The sequence below is a fragment of the Homo sapiens genome, chromosome 11, assembly GCF_000001405.40.
Source record: "Homo sapiens chromosome 11, GRCh38.p14 Primary Assembly".
In the NCBI taxonomy this organism is placed as follows: domain Eukaryota; kingdom Metazoa; phylum Chordata; class Mammalia; order Primates; family Hominidae; genus Homo; species Homo sapiens.
In genome coordinates this window covers 34,724,696-34,742,608 of record NC_000011.10, presented here as the reverse complement: position 1 = coordinate 34,742,608, position 17,913 = coordinate 34,724,696, and the positions used below count along the sequence as shown (strand labels likewise).

The following is a 17,913-nucleotide window of genomic DNA, read 5'->3' as shown; positions in this document are numbered from 1 at the left end:
CCAGTTAGCTTATAGGTTAGATGAAACCATACTCATGGCTGTGCAATGTGGTGCTATCAGAGTGCTAGCCTTCCACTTGTAACACAGTTTGAAGTCAGGTAGCGTGATGCCTCCAGCTTTGTTCTTTTGGCTTAGGATTGTCTTGGCTACACGGGCTCTTTTGTGGTTCCATATGAAATTTAAACTAGTTTTTCTAATTCTGTGAAGAAAGTCAATGGTAGCTTGATGGGAATACCATTGAATCTATAAATTACCTTGGGCGGTATGGCCATTTTCATGATATTGATTCTTTCTATCCATGAGCATTGAATGTTTTTCCATTTGTTTGTGTCGTCTCTTATTTCCTTGAGCAGTGGTTTGTAGTTCTCCTTGAAGAGGTCCTTCATATCCCTTGTAAGTTGTATTCCTAGGTACTTTATTCTCTTGGTGGCAATTGTGAATGGGAGTTCACTCCTGATTTGGCTCTCTGTTTTTCTATTATTGATGTATAGGAATGCTTGTGATTTTCCATGTTGATTTTGTATCCTGAGACTTTGCTGAAGTTACTTATCAGTTTAAGGAGTTTTGGAGCTGAGATGATGGGGTTTTCTAAATATACAATCATGTCACCTGCAAACAGGGATAATTTGACTTCCTCTCTTTCTATTTGAATACACTTTATTTCTTTCTCTTGCCTGATTTCCCTAGCCAGAACTTCCAATACTATGTTGAATAGGAGTGGTGAGAGAAGGCATCCTTGTCTTGTGCCGGTTTTCAAAGGGAATGCTTCCAGCTTTTGCCCATTCAGTATGATATTGGCTATGGGTTTGTCATAAATAGCTCTTATTATTTTGAGATATGTTCCATCAATACCTAGTTTATTGTTTTTAGCATGAAGGGGTGTTGAAGTTTATCAGAGGCATTTTCTTCATCTATGGAGATAATCATGTGGTTTTTGTCATTGGTTCTGTTTATGTGCTGCATTACATTTATTAAATTGCCTATGTTGAACCAGTCTTGCATCCCAGGGATGAAGCCAACTTGATCATGGTGGATAAGCTTTTTAGTGTACTGCTGGATTCGGTTTGCCAGTATTTTTTTGAGGATTTTTGCATTGATGTTCATCATGGTTACTGGCCTGAAAATTTCTTTTTTTGTTGTGTCTCTGCCAGGCTTTGGTATCAGGATGATGCTGGCCTTATAAAATGAGTTAGGGAGGAGTCCCTCTTTTTCTATTGTTTGGATTAGTTTTAGAAGGAATGGTACCAGCTCCTCTTTTTACCTCTGGTAGAATTCGGCTGAGAATCCATCTGGTCCTGGGCTATTTTTGGTTGGTAGGCTGTTAATTACTGCCTCAATTTCAGAACCTGGTATTGGTCTATTGAGGGATTTGACTTCTTCCTGGTTTAGTCTTGGGAGGGTGTATGTGTCGAGGAATTTATCCATTTCTTCTAGATTTTCTAGTTTATTTGCATAGAGGTGTTTACAGTATTCTCTGATGGTAGTTTGTATTTCTGTGGGATCAGTGGTGATATCCCCTTTATCATTTTTTATTGTCTCTATTTGATTCTTCTCCCTTTTCTTCTTTATTAGTCTGGCTAGCAGTCTTTCTATTTTGCTAATCTTTTCAAAAAACCAGCTCCTGGATTCATTGATTTTTTTGAAGGGTTTTTCGTGTCTCTATCTCCTTCAGTTTTGCTCTAATCTTATTTATTTCTTGTCTTCTGCTAGCTTTTGAATTTGTTTGCTCTTGCTTTTCTAGTTCTTTTAATTTTGATGTTAGGGTGTCTATTTTAGATCTTTCCTGCTTTCTGATGTGGGCATTTACTGCTATAAATTTCCTTCTAAACACTGCTTTAGCTGTGTCCCAGAGATTCTGGTACATTATGTCTTTGTTCTCATTGGTTTCAAAGAACTTATTAATTTCTGCCTTAATTTCATTATTTACCCAGTAGTCATTCAGGGGCAGATTGCTCAGTTTCCATGTAGTTGTGCAGTTTTGAATGAGTTTCTTAATGCTGAGTTCCAATTTGATTGTGCTGTGTTCTGAGAGACTGTTTGTTATGATTTCTGTTCTTTTGTATTTGCTTAGAAGTATTTTACTTCCAATTATATGGTCAATTTTATAATAAGTGTGATGTGGTGCTGAGAAGAATGTATATTCTGTTGATTTGGGCTGTAGAGTTCTGTAGATGTCTATTAGGTCTGCTTGGTCCAGAGCTGAGTTCAAGTCCTGAATATCCTTGTCAATTTTCTGTCTCATTGATCTGTCTAATATTGACAGTAGGGTGTTAAAGTCTCCCACTATTATTGTGTGGGAGTCTAAGTCTTTTTGTAGGTCTCTAAGAACTTGCTTTATAAATCTGGGTGCTCCTGTATTGGGTGCATATATATTTAGGATAGTTAGTTCTTCTTGTTGCATTGATCCCTTTACCATTGTGTAATGTCTTCTTTGTCTTTTTTGATCATTGTTTGTTTAAAGTCTGTTTTATCAGAGACTAGGATTGCATCCTCTGCTTTTTTTACTTTCCATTTGCTTGGTAAATATCCCTCCATCCCTTTATTTTGAGCCTATGTGTGTCTTTGCACATGAGATGGGTTTCCTGAATACAGCACACTGATGGGTCTTGACTCTTTATCTGATTTGCCAGTCTGTGTCTTTTAATTGAGGCATTTACTCCATTTACATTTAAGGTTAATATTGCTATGTGTGAATTTGATACTGTCATTATGATGCTAGCTGGTTATTTTGCCCATTAGTTGATGCAGTTTCTTCACAGCGTCAATGGTCTTTACATTTTGGTATGTTTTTGCAGTGGCTGGTACTGGTTTTTCCTTTCCATATTTAGTGCTTCCTTCAGTAGCTCTTGTAAGGCAGGCCTGGTGGTGACAAAATCCCTCAGCATTTGCTTTTCTGTAAAGGATTTTATTTCTCCTTCACTTATGAAGCTTAGATTGGCTGGATATGAAATCCTGGGTTGAAAATTCTTTTCTTTAAGAATGTTGAATATTGGCACCCACTCTTTTCTGGCTTGTAGGGTGTCTGCAGAGAGATCCGCTGTTACCCTGATGGGCTTCCCTTTCTCTCTGGCTGCCCTTAACATTTTTTCCTTCATTTCAACCTTGGTAAATCTGATGATTATGTGTCTTGGGGTTGCTATTCTTGAGGAGTATCTTTGTGGTGTTCTCTGTATTTCCTGAATTTGAATGTTGGCCTGTCTTGCTAGGTTGGGGAAGCTCTCCTGGATAATATCCTGAAGTGTGTTTTCCAACTTGGTTCCATTCTCCCCATCACTTTCAGGTACACCAGTCAAACGTAGGTTTGGTCTTTCCACATAGTCCCATATTTCTTGGAGGCTTTGTTAGTTCCTTTTCATTCTTTTTTCTCTAATGTCATCTTCATGCTTTATTTCATTAAGTTGATCTTCAATCTCTGATATCCTTTCTTCTGCCTGATCAATTTGGCTACTGATACTTGTGTAGGCTTCACGAAGTTCTCGAACTGTATTTTTCAGCTCCATCAGGTCATTTATGTTCTTCTCTAAACTGGTTAATCTAGTTAGCAGTTCCTGTAACCTTTTATCAAGTTTCTTAGCTTCATTGCATTGGGTTAGAACATGCTCCTTTAGCTTGGAGGAGTTTGTTGTTACTCACCTTCTGAAGCCTACTTCTGTCAATTCATCAAACTCATTATCCATCCAGTTTTGTTCCCTTGCTGGTGAGGAGTTATGATCCTTTGGAGGAGAAGAGGCACTCTGGTTTTTGGAATTTTTAGCCTTTTTGTGCTGTTTTTTCCTCATCTTCATGGATTTATCTACCTTTGGTCTTTGATGTTGGTGACCTTCAGATGGGGTTTTTGCATGGTCATCCTTTTTGTTGATGTTGACATTATTGCTTTCTGTTTGTTAGTTTTCCTCCTAACAGTCAGGCCCCTCTACTGCAGGTCTGCTGGAGTTTGCTGGAGGTCCACTCCAGACTGTTTGCCTGGGTATCACCAGCGGAGGCTGTAGAACAGCAAATATTGCTGCCTGATCCTTCCTCTGGAAGCTTTGTCCCAGAGGCACATCTGCCAGATGCCAGTGTATATGAGGTGACTGTTGACCCAGTGACTTGAGGAGGCAGTCTGTCCCTTAGCAAAGCTCGAGCACTGTGCTAGGAGATCTGCTGCTCTCTTCAGAGCTGGCAGGCAGGAAGGTTTAAGCCTGTTGAAGCTGTGCCCACAACCACCCCTTCTCCCAGGTGCTCTGTCCCAGGGAGGTGGAAGTTTTATCTATAAGCCCATGACTGGGGCTGCTGCCTTTCGTTCGGAGATGCCTTGCCCAGAGAGGAGGAATCTAGAGAGCAGGCCAGGCTACAGCAGCTTTGCGGTGCTGCAGTGGGCTCCACCCAGTCTGAACTTTGTTTACAAACAATGGCTTTGTTTATTTACACTGTGAGGGGAAAACCACCTACTCAAGCCTTAGTAACGGTGGATGCCCCTCCCCCCACCAAGCTCCAGCTTCCCAGGTTGACCTCAGACTGCTGCGCTGGCAGCAAGAATTTCAAGCCAGTGGATCTTAGCTTGTTGGGCTCCATGGGGGTGGGATCCACTGAGCAAGATCACTCGGCTTCCTGGCTTCAGCCCCCTTGACAGGGGAGTGAACAGTTCTGTCTCTCTGGTGCTCCATGTGCCACTAGGGTACGAAAAAAAAAAAAAAAACTCCTGCAGCTAGCTGGGTGTCTGCCCAAACGACTGTCCAGTTTTGTGCTTGAAATCCAGGGTCCTGGTGGTGTAGGTATCCAAGGGAATCTCCTGGTCTGCAGATTGCAAAGACTGTGGGAAAAGCATAGTATCTGGGCCAGAATGCACAGTTCCTCGCAGCACAGTCCCTCATGACTTCCCCTGGCTAGGGGAGGGAGTTCTCCAACCCCTTCTGCTTCCCAGGTGAGGCAACAACCCACCCTGCTTCTGCTCACCCTCTGTGGGCTGCACCCACTGTCTAACCAGTCCCAATGAGATGAACTGGGTACCCCAATTAGAAATGCAGAAATCACCCACCTTCTGCATTGGTCTCACTGGGAGCTGCAGACCAGAGCTATTCCTATTTGGCCATCTTGCCTGGGAATCCAGGCTTTTTTATATATGTTGTTTCCCAATCCCTGTGACTCTTCAGGCTAGATGTTATCTCTGTTTTTCAAAAGAGGAAACTGAGCTCAACAATTTGCCCATCACCTCATGTGAAGGAGCAGAGCTGGGATTGGCATCAGGTCTGCATCACTCCAGAGCTCATGTTTCATCTTGTACACAGGGCTGCTTTCAACCCCTCCAGTCCTTCTGTCTATAGCTCACATTCTAGCATCAACTAGATATCTACTGTTTACTGCCTTGTGGACTCTATTGTCTTTGGCTGTGTTGGGCTGTGTCCCTCTTCTTCCAAATCTCACTGAGTGCCCAGCAATGCACTGGACCAATGTGGATGAGTGAAACTGAAGTTCAGAACTAGTGAAATCATTTTAAGGTAAAATTGTAGCTTTTCCCCATCTTCCACCTTGCCCTCCAACCCTACCCCATCATCTTGTATTAGCTTCGCACTGGGAGTTGAGTTCCTAAATTTTCATGGTAAAATTCAAAATTCTTCCAAAGTTTGGGGTTATTCTTTAGGCAGTAGTGGTGGAGGGCACCCAAGATCTCCTCTGGTTGTTTCCTTACCTGCCTATCCTGTCTTTTTACCCATTTCTTCCCACCCCAGTCTTTGAGTCCAGTCATCCAGGCCTGCCTCTCGTTCTTGAATGTTCCAACTCCAAGGCTTTTTCCCCATCATGTCTCCTGCCTGGATTATTACAGTGCCTCCTCTGTGTCAAACACTTAATAAATGGCTGTTGTGTAAGTTATCAAATGGTGAATGAATGAATAAACACCTTCCACTTCAACTAGTTAAGTCCTGCCCTGCCTCTGAGGCTGAGCTTGGTCACATGTCTTTGTGAAGTCTTTCTTCCATCACTCCAGCCCATATGTGTTAAGTGTTCTTCATCTGGAATGCTTAGCACACATGCAATCCACAGTGCTGGTTGATCACTCAACATGCACCATCTTGTATGTTTAAGGTGTTTTGTGCACATGCCCTGCTCTATGGAGGTAAGAGATGTGTTTTTTGCTGACTTTGTAGACAGAGAGTTCCAGATTTGAGTTCCAATTCCATCGCTTGCCAGCTGAGTGAATTTGAAGAGGTTGCTTAACCTCTCTGAAGCTCAGTTTCTTTATCTGTTAAAAAGGGACACTGCCTGCCTTATCACTTGCTTTGTAGGCTAAGTGGCTTTTCTTTTGAGGGTCAATGAGTCAAATTACAAAATAATGTGTAGAGTATCATCCCAATTTCATAAAAAGAAGCATTTATTTTCTCAGACTTACATACCTACAGGTTTGTTTGTGTGTTAGTGTAGATAAAGTCTGAAAGGACACATTCTAAACATCAACACTTATATTCAATCCCAACCTTTCTCTTCTATATAGTAGTTACTTGTGTATATGCCTGATTTCTCTTCCCCAAAATTGTAAGAACCTGAGTCAGAAACTGACTTTATCAGTCAGGGTGGGCTAAATCATGCAGTGGTAACCACCTCAAAATCTGAGCTATCGAAACAAAAAGATTATTTCTCACTTTCAATACATGTCCACTGTGAGCCAGCCAACAGATTCCACACACCACAATCAGTAAAGATGCAAGCTGCCAGACCCCACACCATCTAAAACGTTGCCAGGTAGCATGCTGCAGAGAAAGGAGAGAAGGATAAAGCATTTGTTCTCAGCTCTTGGCCAAAGCAAGTCACATGGCCACACTGAACTTTGAGAAGGCAGAAACATACAATCTTCTTCTTATGTGCCTAGGAGGAGTGAAACCCCAGACTTCTGTGAAGTGCTTAACAGACTACCCCACTGACTTGACTTTGTTTCTCTACACCCAAGATGATGCTGTGCACGTAGTGGTCACTCAGGTAATATAGATGATGTAAGGCAATGCAACAAAATCCAGGTGCTACTTGAGGTTCTGAAGAAAAATATATAAAAATAACTAAGACTTAAGTCCAATAAAAAGTGAGGGAGAGAAATATATGCATACTCAAGCAATCACAGTAGTAGACTGGCACCAATGCTTTAGTATTATAAAATAAACCCAGTGAAAGTATATTACTTTTCTATTGCTGCTGTAACAAATCACCATAAACTTAGTGGTTTAAAACAACACAAATTGATTATTTTACAGCCTTGTAGGTCAGAATTCTAACACAGATCTCAACAAACTAAAAACACAACTGTTGACATGCTGCATTGCTTTCTGAAGGCTCTACAATCTGCTTATTAGATTGTTGGCAGAATTCAGTTCCTTGTGGTTGTGTGACTGAGGTCCCATTTTTTTGCTGGATTTAGCTGAGAACTGTTCCTAGTTTCTGGAAGCCACCACATTCCTTCACTCATGACCCCCTTCCTCCATCTTCAAAGCCAGCAATGGTGGGTCAAGTCCTTCTCATGTCACATGTCTCTGACCCACTCTTCTGCCTTTCTCTTTTACTTTTTTTTGGACAGAGTCTCCCTCTGTTGTCCAGGCTGGAGTGCAGTGGCACAATCTCAGCTCACTGCAACCTCCACCTCCCAGGTTCAAGCGATTTTCCTGCCTCAGCCTCCTGAGTAGCTGAGATTACAGGTGCACATCACCAGGCCTGGCTAATTTTTGTATTTTTAGTAGAGACAGGGTTTCACCATGTTGGTCAGGCTTATCTCAAACTCCTGAGCCACCATGCCCGACCCTCTTTCACTTTTAAAGATTTGGTGATTAAATTGGGACCACCTGGATAACCTGGGCTAATCTCCCCATCTCTAGGGCCTTAATCTTAACAATATCTGCAAAGTCCCTTTCGCCATGTAAGGTACCATATTCACAGGTTCCAGGGATTAGGGCATGGATATCTTTGGGGGAAGGGCATCATTATTCTTCCTACCACTGTTTAAAAAAAAAATATATATATAATATGTATACACACACACTATATATGCATGTATACATTATATATACATATATAAATTTTACTTATTTATTCACACTTCACTGAGATTGAGCCAAGGAGGGAAAGAGTCATTCCAAATGGGAAGACCAGGGAAGACTTCAGCTGGGCTTGAAGGATGTGTAAATTCCAACAGGCAGAGATGGGGGAATGGGCTGTTGAGGGGACTCCAGGCTGAGGGCTGAGCATGCAGAAAGAGGATGGGAAGTCCCTGCCAGGTGTGCCCATGGCAAGGGGAGTGCAGCCCTGGGACATGGGAGAGGACAGGACAGGAAGCAGAGGCAGGTTTGACTGGGCAAGTTTGGTGAGGCAGCATGTCGCTGGAGAGAGGAAGGAGCATGGGGGCTGTAGAGTCAGACCTGGGTCTGAGTCTCAGCTCTGCCACTTGGCTGTGTAACCATGGGCTTACTTTACTTAACCTCTGTAAATCTCAGTTGCCTCCACTGTGAAGTGAAGCTGCTAGCAATAGCACCTATATCTTAGGGTTGTTGGGAGACTTGACTGAGACAATTTAAAGTGCTTAAAATTTAATGAAGGATGCTATTATTGGTATTACCAGCCAAGTCCTTGGACCACGATTGGGTCACCTGCCCTGAGGGGACAGAATCTGGGAGAACCAAACAGGCGGGCTGCGGGCGAACTCTGCCAGCCTCCTCTTCTTACCTCCCATGCCAACTTCACGGATTTTGTGAGTTTCCCACATCCACAGACCTTTATGGTACCATGCAGGGAGAGCCTTGCTCCCTCCATCCACTGGCAACTTGGCCTGGAATGGTGCTTAACCATGAATGACAAAGGGACAGTACCAAGACCAGTCCTCAAATAAAATCACATTCCCAAGTCCTGAAAGAGGGTTTGGGCACCTCTTCTTTCCCCAGATGTTTTTGCCAATTTTTCTTTTTTTTTTTTTTTTTTGAGACAGAGTCTTGCTCTGTCACCCAGGCTGGAGTGCAGTGGCGTGATCTTAGCTCACTGCAAGCTCCGCCTCCCAGGTTCACGCCATTCTCCTGCCTCAGCCTCACGAGTAGCTGGGACTACAGGTGCCTGCCACCATGCTTGGCTAATTTTGTGTATTTTTCACAGAGACGGGGTTTCACCATGTTAGCCAGGATGGTCTCGCTCTCCTAATATCGTGATCCACCCGCCTCGGCTTCCCAAAGTGCTGGGATTACAAGCGTGAGCCACTGCACCCAGCCTCACATTTTTTTTTTTAAATGATGCAAGGCAGTCTTCACTTTTCAATCTACAAGTTTTGGGCCCTAAATACAGAAATGTATGTTGCACATAATTGAATTGGGGTCAAGTGTTCAGAACGCATCTTCAGAGAATTGCAGGAAGGGCACAAATGTGTGTGTGTGTGTGTATGTGTGTGTAAATAAAGCAAAAGCAAATATCCTTGCAGAATTATTGATTTTTATACAATTTGTAATTATAAGCTGAAAAGCATATGAAAAAGGAAAAACACATGTGTCAGATTTAACCAGCAAGTATCCATTTTCTTTGAAGAGCTACAGACCTAGCATAATCCCTGCTAAGTCAACAGAACAGGTCGTGGAGCTTTAACTGCTTCATACAAGGCAGGTGGCAGGCAAGAGCAATACCTTTATTCTCACCACCCACCCACTCCACCTCCACTGTAGTTTCTTTCATACTACCAAAATAACAAGTAGTTACTTTAGAAAGTACAGACTACTAAATAGGAAAAAAGTAAGGTTTGTATACAGACCCACCTCCCAAATAAAAGTGCAATTAATATTTTATAATGTCTATTTCATTTTATCTCCATACAAATACATTTCAATCTAACCCAAATAGAATTACTTTGCACATACTATCTTGAGAAAATGAATATTTATTAAACACCTGTTATGTCACCTCCCTGAACCCCAGTTTCTTGCTCTGTATCTCACATGGTATTTGTAAACCAGTAATAGAAATGTAAGCTAGCAGATAGTAAATATTCAATACATGTTAACAATTATCATTATCATAAACAAGAATCATAATTATTTTTATCTTGCTTAATTATCACAAAAACTCTGCCAAATTACAACAGACTGAGGCTCAGAGAATTGCCATGTTGATCTACATAACTTTTAAGGGGTGAATTCAGGATGTGGAAAGATGAACAAAAAGAGAAAGCCCATTTTTCATAGATGTTACCTTGAGAATCTTCAAGTCCTTCAACTCCAGTTACTGACAAAATCCAGGATAAGACAGTTTGCTTCAGAATTGTCTCAGTGCATCAGCTAAAATGATTTGTAGCCAATTGGTTCCATCCTTAAAGTTCCATCCTTTGAAGAAGGAGCTGCAAGAAAACCACTATTCAAGATGGCTTTCCAAGATCCTAGGCTCCCCCAGTCCTGCCTGGCCCTCTTGATTTCCAATCCCAATCAATTCCTTTTTAATAATCATAGTTCAAGCACAAATAAGAAGTAATCCAGGTTACTGCTAAACCTTGTAAAGGTTTTGGGATTAGCCATTGCATCCCTGTGCCTCCTTAACCTCTCATGAGAACACATAATTGAGAACTTAAAGCTCAGCTGTCGTTGTCTTCCATCTGCACTTTATTGGTCTTTATTCATTCGGTTCCTCAAGCCATCAAGCTAGAGTGGATTAGGCAGGATTCATCCCTCAGGTGGTCACCTTTGCTGCTTTGCCTCACACGCAGGCACACACAGGCACATGCGCATATGTACACACACATACCACACCACACACACACACACACACACACACATATACACATACATGCATTCAGCTTTCATGAGTCATAAGTTTGAGCATCCCAAAATCCGGCACCCTATGCTGGGCTGGCCCAGATCACACCAGGGCAAATGTTGTTTGGCACACAGTTTAGTTGTCTAAGGGAATGTGGATTCAGGTGGAATTAATTAAGAGAGAACTAACTTCCAGCTCTTTATTAGTGTGTTGCACCTGCATCCTAGTGGCCAGCTCCTCTCCAGTCCCTAGAGAGGGAACTAATGACTAAGCCAGGGCAAGACAAGGGGTTTAGGGACAGAGTCAGCAAGACACTCAAGCTACATGGCCAGGGTGGTGTGAGGAACTTCTCCCTGAAAGGCCCCATTGCTAAAATAGCTTGTCTAGTGATAGTGACAAATGCCTGGAATTCTACCATTAGAAATTCATCCCCATGGATTAAAGTTTTGGAGCTGCAGAAGACCCTCTGTTAAAACGCACATACCTCTGGGGAAATGAATGCAGTCATGTTAATCAGTAATGCATTAATATAAACTATTGTATTAGATTACCTCCTGTTATTTAACATGGTCCTTAGGGATCCAGGACACATAAGTTTGGGTGAGAGGCTTAATCAAAGGAACGTGGAATGCCAAGGAAGGCAGTATGAGAGCACTGGGCTCTGGGAAGGAAGGGGCAGAGGACATGTCTGACTTTACATCTTGGTTACCACTGGCCAGTGGCCTGACTGGGCTGCAGCTACTGCTGGATGAACTTAGGCAGATCCCAGGCCTGTCTCAGTGACTCAGCCACACCCTGAAGGTAATCAAGGTGACCTACATCTACAGGCAGCTGGTGGAGGATTAATTAATGACTGAAAGGGAGCCTGAAAACACCAGGTCCATTGACACGCAAGGCATGATTATTAAGTCATTAGGAGGACTGGCTAATTATCATTTCTAAAGTTGCTGTGAGTTTGTCATAGATGGCTCTTATTATTTTGAGGTATGTTCCTTCAATGCTTAGTCTGTTGGGGTTTTTTTTTTTATCATGAAGGGATGTTGGATGTTATCAAAAGCTGTTTCCGCCTCTTTTGAGATGACAAATGGTTTTTGCTTTTGATTCTGTTTATGTGGTGAATCACATTTATTGACTTGTGTATGTTGAATCAGGCTTGCATCCCAGGAATAAAGCCTACTTGATTGTGGTATATTAGTTGTTTGATGTGCTGTGGATTCAATTTGCTAGTATTTTGTTGAGGATTTTTGCATCAATGTTCATCAGGGATATTGGTCTGAAGTTTTCTGTTTTTGTTGTGTCTCTGCCAGCTTTTAGTATCAAGCTGATGCTGGCTTCATGGAAAAAGATACGGAGGAGCCCCTCTTTCTTGATTTTTGGAATAGTTTCAGTAGGATTAGTATCAGTTCTTCTTTGAATGTCTGGTAGAATTTGGCTGTGAATCCATCTGGTCTAGGGCTTTGCTTTGGTTGGTAGGTTCTTTATTACTGATTCAATTTCAGAACTTGTCTTTGGTCTTTTCAAGGTTTCAATCTCTGATTCAATCTTAGAAGACTGTGTGCTTCCAGAATGTTTCCATTTCTTCTGGATACTCTAATTTGTGTGTGTAGGGTTGTTCATAATAGTCTCTGAGGATCTTTTGTATTTCTGTGGGATCAATTGTAATATCACCTTTGTTGTTTCTGATTGTGCTTATTTGGATCTTCTCTCTTTCTTTTTCTTTGATAGCTAGGGTCCATCTATGATAAACTCACAGCCAACATCATACTGAATGGGCAAAAGCTTGAATCATTCCCCTTAAGAACTGGAACAAGACAAGGATACCCACTCTCACCACTCCTATTCAACATAGTACTAGAAGTCCTAGACAGAGCAGTCATGCAAGAAAAAGAAATAAAAGGCATCCAAATAGGAAACCAAGAAGCCAAACAATTTCTCTTTACTGACAATTATGATTCTATGCCTAGAAAATCCTAAAGACTCTGCCAAAAGACTCCTAGAATTGAAAAACCACTTTAATACAGTTTCAAGATACAAAATCAATGCACAAAAATCAGTAGCATTTCTATACACCAACAGCATCCAGGGTGCACGTGGAATAAAAAACACAATCCTACTCAAAATAGCCACAAAGAAAATGAAATTATCTAGGAATACAGCTAACCAAAGAGGTGAAAGACCTGTACAAAGAGAACCACCAAACACTGCTGAAAGAATTCAGAAATGACACAAATGAACAGAAAACATTCCATGCTCATGGATTGAAAGAATCAATGTCATTTGAAATGTCCATACTGCACGAAGTAATTTAAAGATTCAATGCTATTCCTATCAAACTACCAATGTCATTCTTCATAGGATTAGAAAAACTGTTCTAAAATTAATATGGGACCAAAAACAGCTCAAATAGCCAAAGCAATCCTAAGCAAAAGGAACAAAGTCTCACATTACCTGACTTCAAGTTATGCTATAAAGCCACAGTAACCAAAACAGCTTTGTATTGGTACAAAAACACATAATGGAACAGAATAGAAAACTCAGAAATAAAGCTGCACATCTACAACTATCTGATCTTTGACAAGGTCAACAAAAACAAGCAATGGAAAAGGATACACAATTCAACAAATGGTGCTAGGATAACTGGCTAGCCATATACAGAAGAATGAAGTTGGACTCCCACCTTTCACCATATACAAAAACTAATTCAAAATAAATGAAAAAAATTTAATGTAAGACCTCAAGCTATAAAAATCCTGGAAGACAACCTAGTAAATACTCTTCTCAACATCAACCTTGGCAAATAATTTTTGACTAAGTCCCCAAAAGCAATTGCAACAAAAACAAACACAGACAGTGGGGCCTAATTAAACTGAAGAGCTTCTGCAGAGCAAAAGAAACTACTGACAGAGCAAACAGACAATCCCTACAGAATGGGAGAAGGTATTCACAAACTGCATCTGATAAAGACCTAATATCCATGATCTGTAAGGAACTTAAGCAAATCAGCAAGCAAAAACCAAATAACCCCATTAAAAAATGGGCAAAGGACATGAACAGACACTTCTCAAAAGAAGACACACAACTGGCAAAAAAATGAAAAAATCCTCATTATCACTTATTATCAGAGAAATGCAACTCAAAACCACAATGAGATAGCATCTCACACCAGTCAGAATGGTGATTATTGAAAAGTCAAAAAATAACAGTTGCTGGTGAGGCTGCAAAGAAAAGAGAACACTTACACACTTTTGTTGGGAATGTAAATCAGTCCAGCCACTGAAAAAAGCAGTCTAGAGATTTCTCAAATAACTTAAAACCAAGCTACAAGTCAACCTAGCAATCCCATTATTGGATATGTACCCAAAAGAAAATAAATCATTCTCCCAAAAGACACATGCACTCATAAGTTCATCTCTGCACTATTCACAATACCAAAGACATGGAATCAACCCAAGTGCCCATCAATGTTTGACTGGATAAAGAAAATGTGGTACATGTACACCATTGAGTCATAAAAAATGGAGTTATAAAAATACACTATGCAGTTATAAAAAATGAAATCATGCTCTTTGCAACAACATGGATGGAGCTTGAGGCCATAATCTCAAGCAAATTAATGCAGAAACAGAAAAACAAATGCCACATATTCTCACTTATATGTGGGAGCTATACATTGATCACACATGGACTTAAATATGGAAATAATAGGCACTGTGGACCATGAGAGGGTGGAGGGAGAGTGAAAAAAAACTATCAAGTGCTGTGCTCACTACCTGGATGACAGGATCTGCACTCTAAACTTCAGCATCATGCAATATTTCCATTTAGCACATCTGCACATATATCCTTTATAGCTAAAATAAAAGCTGCAAAAATAAAAAATATAGTTGCTGATGGAAAAGGATAACTATCTGTTGCTCTAGATGGGGAAAGCATGGAGAATGGTGAAAAAGGATAGGGAAGGTAGAAGGCACACAGGTCTACCCCTCCCCACTTGCTTTCAGCCTGTGTTGGGAAGCTGGATTTTTCTGCACCCAGAGTAACCAACCTATAGGGCGCTAGTGGCATGTATTGGGTTGTACAAGGAGCAGCAGTTTGTAATTGTTTTTTCTAGGCTGCTAGCTGGCACTACCTGCCAATTTGACCACCTAAGAAATGGGAACACCAAACACTAAAGAGAAGAACTGGTCTGTGATGACTCCACACATTTTCTTGGGTGGTCCACATGATAGGTGTGCCCAAATGTTCTAGAGACTAGATAGGGAGGGAAAACACCAGCAAGGCATGGCTAAACTCAGCCATAGATAGATGTGTGACCTTGTGGGTGATAGTTTCTTAACCTCCTAAACCTCAGTTTCTTCATCTACAAAACTGGGCGTCACAAACCCTATCTCAGGTTTTCCCTCCCAGGATTGATGTAAACATGGACTGAGACAACAGATATGGAAGTTCTTTGTGCAGCATAAAATGCTATTTGAATATTATCTCTATTGTTCCAGATGCCTCTGCTGTGTCATTTAAGGAAGCCTTGTTTGACCCTATGGGTCTTACCCAACAGTCTGCCACAACATCTATGAATTTGAGCATTTGTCAGCATTTTCATTAAAGAATTTTCCCACTTGGAGGTTCATCTTTAAAGTGCCTACATACTAGTCAACACAATAACAAGATAGACGAGTATGAACTGGTTCTTCAGATCAGCCAGTTGTCCAGAAAGTTGCTGAGGATATAGGATTTGGGATGGGTAACTTTCGATGGATAGGATGGAGAGCTCAAGGAAACAGTGCCAAAAAGGTGCAGAAGGAGGAATCCTGTAAAGAGAAGGGTGAAAATAGAAAGAAACATATTGTTGCTATTGATTTTAAGGCTTTCATACAGTTCTTTCTAGAATGGAATTTTTGTGCTTATTTTCTCTCCTAATTCTCATAGCAGCCTGGTGCCTATTCTTTCCTTTTCACATAGACTAAATTGAGATCTGGAGAATTTAAATGACTTGCCCAATGGTACATGGCCCTTAGATCTAATATGTAGTGGAGGCAGGACTCAAATGCAGATCCTGAGTCTCTAAATCCTGTGCCCTTTCCACCACACTCTCGTACCCACACTTCACATTTTACTTGAAGGGAAGAGTCTTTTCTGATTTGAATTTACCCAGCCCCCAAGGCTTTATCTTTCCTTCTTTTGGAGAGTAACTGAAATGTTTGAGATGCTCAGTAGGTAGCTGGCACCTTTCTTCTTCCTTCTTTTCTTAGTGGGTCACTCCAGTATGTTCAACAGAGCAGTAATAATAGCTAGCATTCATAAAGCATTACTATGTGCCAGGTGTTTTGCATATGCTATACCTCATTCTCACAGCAATCTGTAAAATAGGTCTCATATATTCAGTCTACAGAGGCAAAGACCAAGGCTTAGAGAATATAAACAGCTTGCCCAAGGTCATATAGTTGGTAAACAATTGAGCCAGAATTCAAACCCAGTTCTGCCTATCTTTAAAGCTCATGTTAAGAGGCATTGTCATCAATACACAAAAGCTACCAAGTGTTGTCTTTTTCTTTTTTTTAATAGTTATTTACAAATTCTCCTTTACATGAATGTTAAACTGTTATAAGCCACCTTTACTCATAAATAATTTTATTCATGTTTTCTTGGGGCCTATGAGCAAGAGTGTCTCTATATTATATACCTAGAAGTAGAATTTGTGTTTCCTATAGTGAGGAGCATTTTCAACTTTACTAGGTAAAGCGGTACTGATTTACACTATTACCTGTGCACAGGATAGTTTGTATTACTCTACTTCCTAGCCAACACTTGCATTGTGAACATTTTACATTTTTTCCAACTTAGTAGTGTGAAATGGTGTCTCATTGTGGTTTCAATATGCATTCTCCTAACAACTGATAAGGTTAAGTCTCTTTCTATAGGTTATTAGCTATTTGTGTTACCTTCTTAATGAAATGCCTATTCATAGCTCTGGCTGCTTTTCTATTAGGTTTTTAATTTTTTTCTTGATTTGTAGAAGTTCTTCATATATTAGATAATCTGGATACTAATTCTTTGTAGGTTATACATATAGCATATATTTTATCCTGCTTTGTGGCTTGTCCTTCACTCTATAATGCCCTTTGGTGAACAGATTTTATTATAATATGTTGAGTCAATCAACTTTAAAAGGTTTTGTTTACATTGGATTCACCTGGGTAATCCAAGATACTCTCCTCTTCTCTCGATATCCTTAACTTAATCACTTCTGCAAAGTTCCTTTTGCCATGTAAGGTAACATAGTCACAGGTTCTGGGGAACAGAATGTGGACGTTGGCAGTGGGGGGATTATTCTGCCTACCACATGTCACCCTTGACTGAGGACTTGGGAAAGAGGAAGCCTTGTCTTCTTTGCCAAATCACCCAGAATGGTACTGACATCACGATGAGTTGGGGACAGGAAAGAAGCAAGTCACGGCTCTGGTGCTAAGACTTTCACTGTTTTTACTGATATTTAGTAAATTTTCTTAAATAAATGTTGCTTTATTCGCTGTATAACCTCCAGACAATTTCTGAGAGTTTAAATGGATGGTTTTTAAAATAATTTTCTCCAGTTATGGTAGTTTCACTGGAGAGAAGTTCTTCAAATCCCCTCACACTGCATCTCCAGAAGTAGAACCTCTCAAGCAAGTTCCTGAACTTAGTTTTGCTGGGTATGTAAGTGGAGGTTGATATTTACTTCCTGTCAGTGTGCAAAGATATTCCTGTGCTCTGTCTTTCATTATTTCTTTTCAGAAGTTTAATCCTAGTCTAATTGCTTATAGATTACCTGTCTCTATCAATTATCTTCCTGGTTGTTTTTAAGACTTTCCCTTCTTCCTAGGCACTGTGCATTTTACTGCAATGATTTTAGCTATTGATTTTCTTTATATTTACTCTTTGCAATTTGTTGAACTTTCTGAATCTAATTGATGTATTTCTTAAAATGTGGGAGATTCTTAGTGTATGTCTTCTCAATATTGCTTTCTCCTAATCTTTTTAATTTTTTTTGCAACACCAATTAGACATATATTAGCTTCTCTCAGTGTATCACAAACACCATTTTCCCCTTTCAGCCTTCCATGTTCATTAATATTTCTTTTATATTTTCTACGTCTTGATCTCTGTATGCTGCATTTTGGGTAATTTATTCAGATCTAT

The 17,913-nt window shown here is 40.5% G+C and overlaps 1 long non-coding RNA gene across 1 annotated transcript in view; it reads right to left on the bottom strand.

Moving 5' to 3' along the window:
* Positions 1-17,913, bottom strand: part of LOC102723568 (uncharacterized) — a 185,086-nt gene that overhangs the window by 135,071 nt on the left and 32,102 nt on the right. Inside the window, exons 4-5 of the long non-coding RNA XR_007062652.1 lie at positions 15,385-15,545; positions 10,180-10,324 (exon numbers count right to left, since the gene is read on the bottom strand). This is a non-coding gene — a long non-coding RNA (uncharacterized LOC102723568). The remainder of the gene's footprint in view (positions 1-10,179; positions 10,325-15,384; positions 15,546-17,913) is intronic.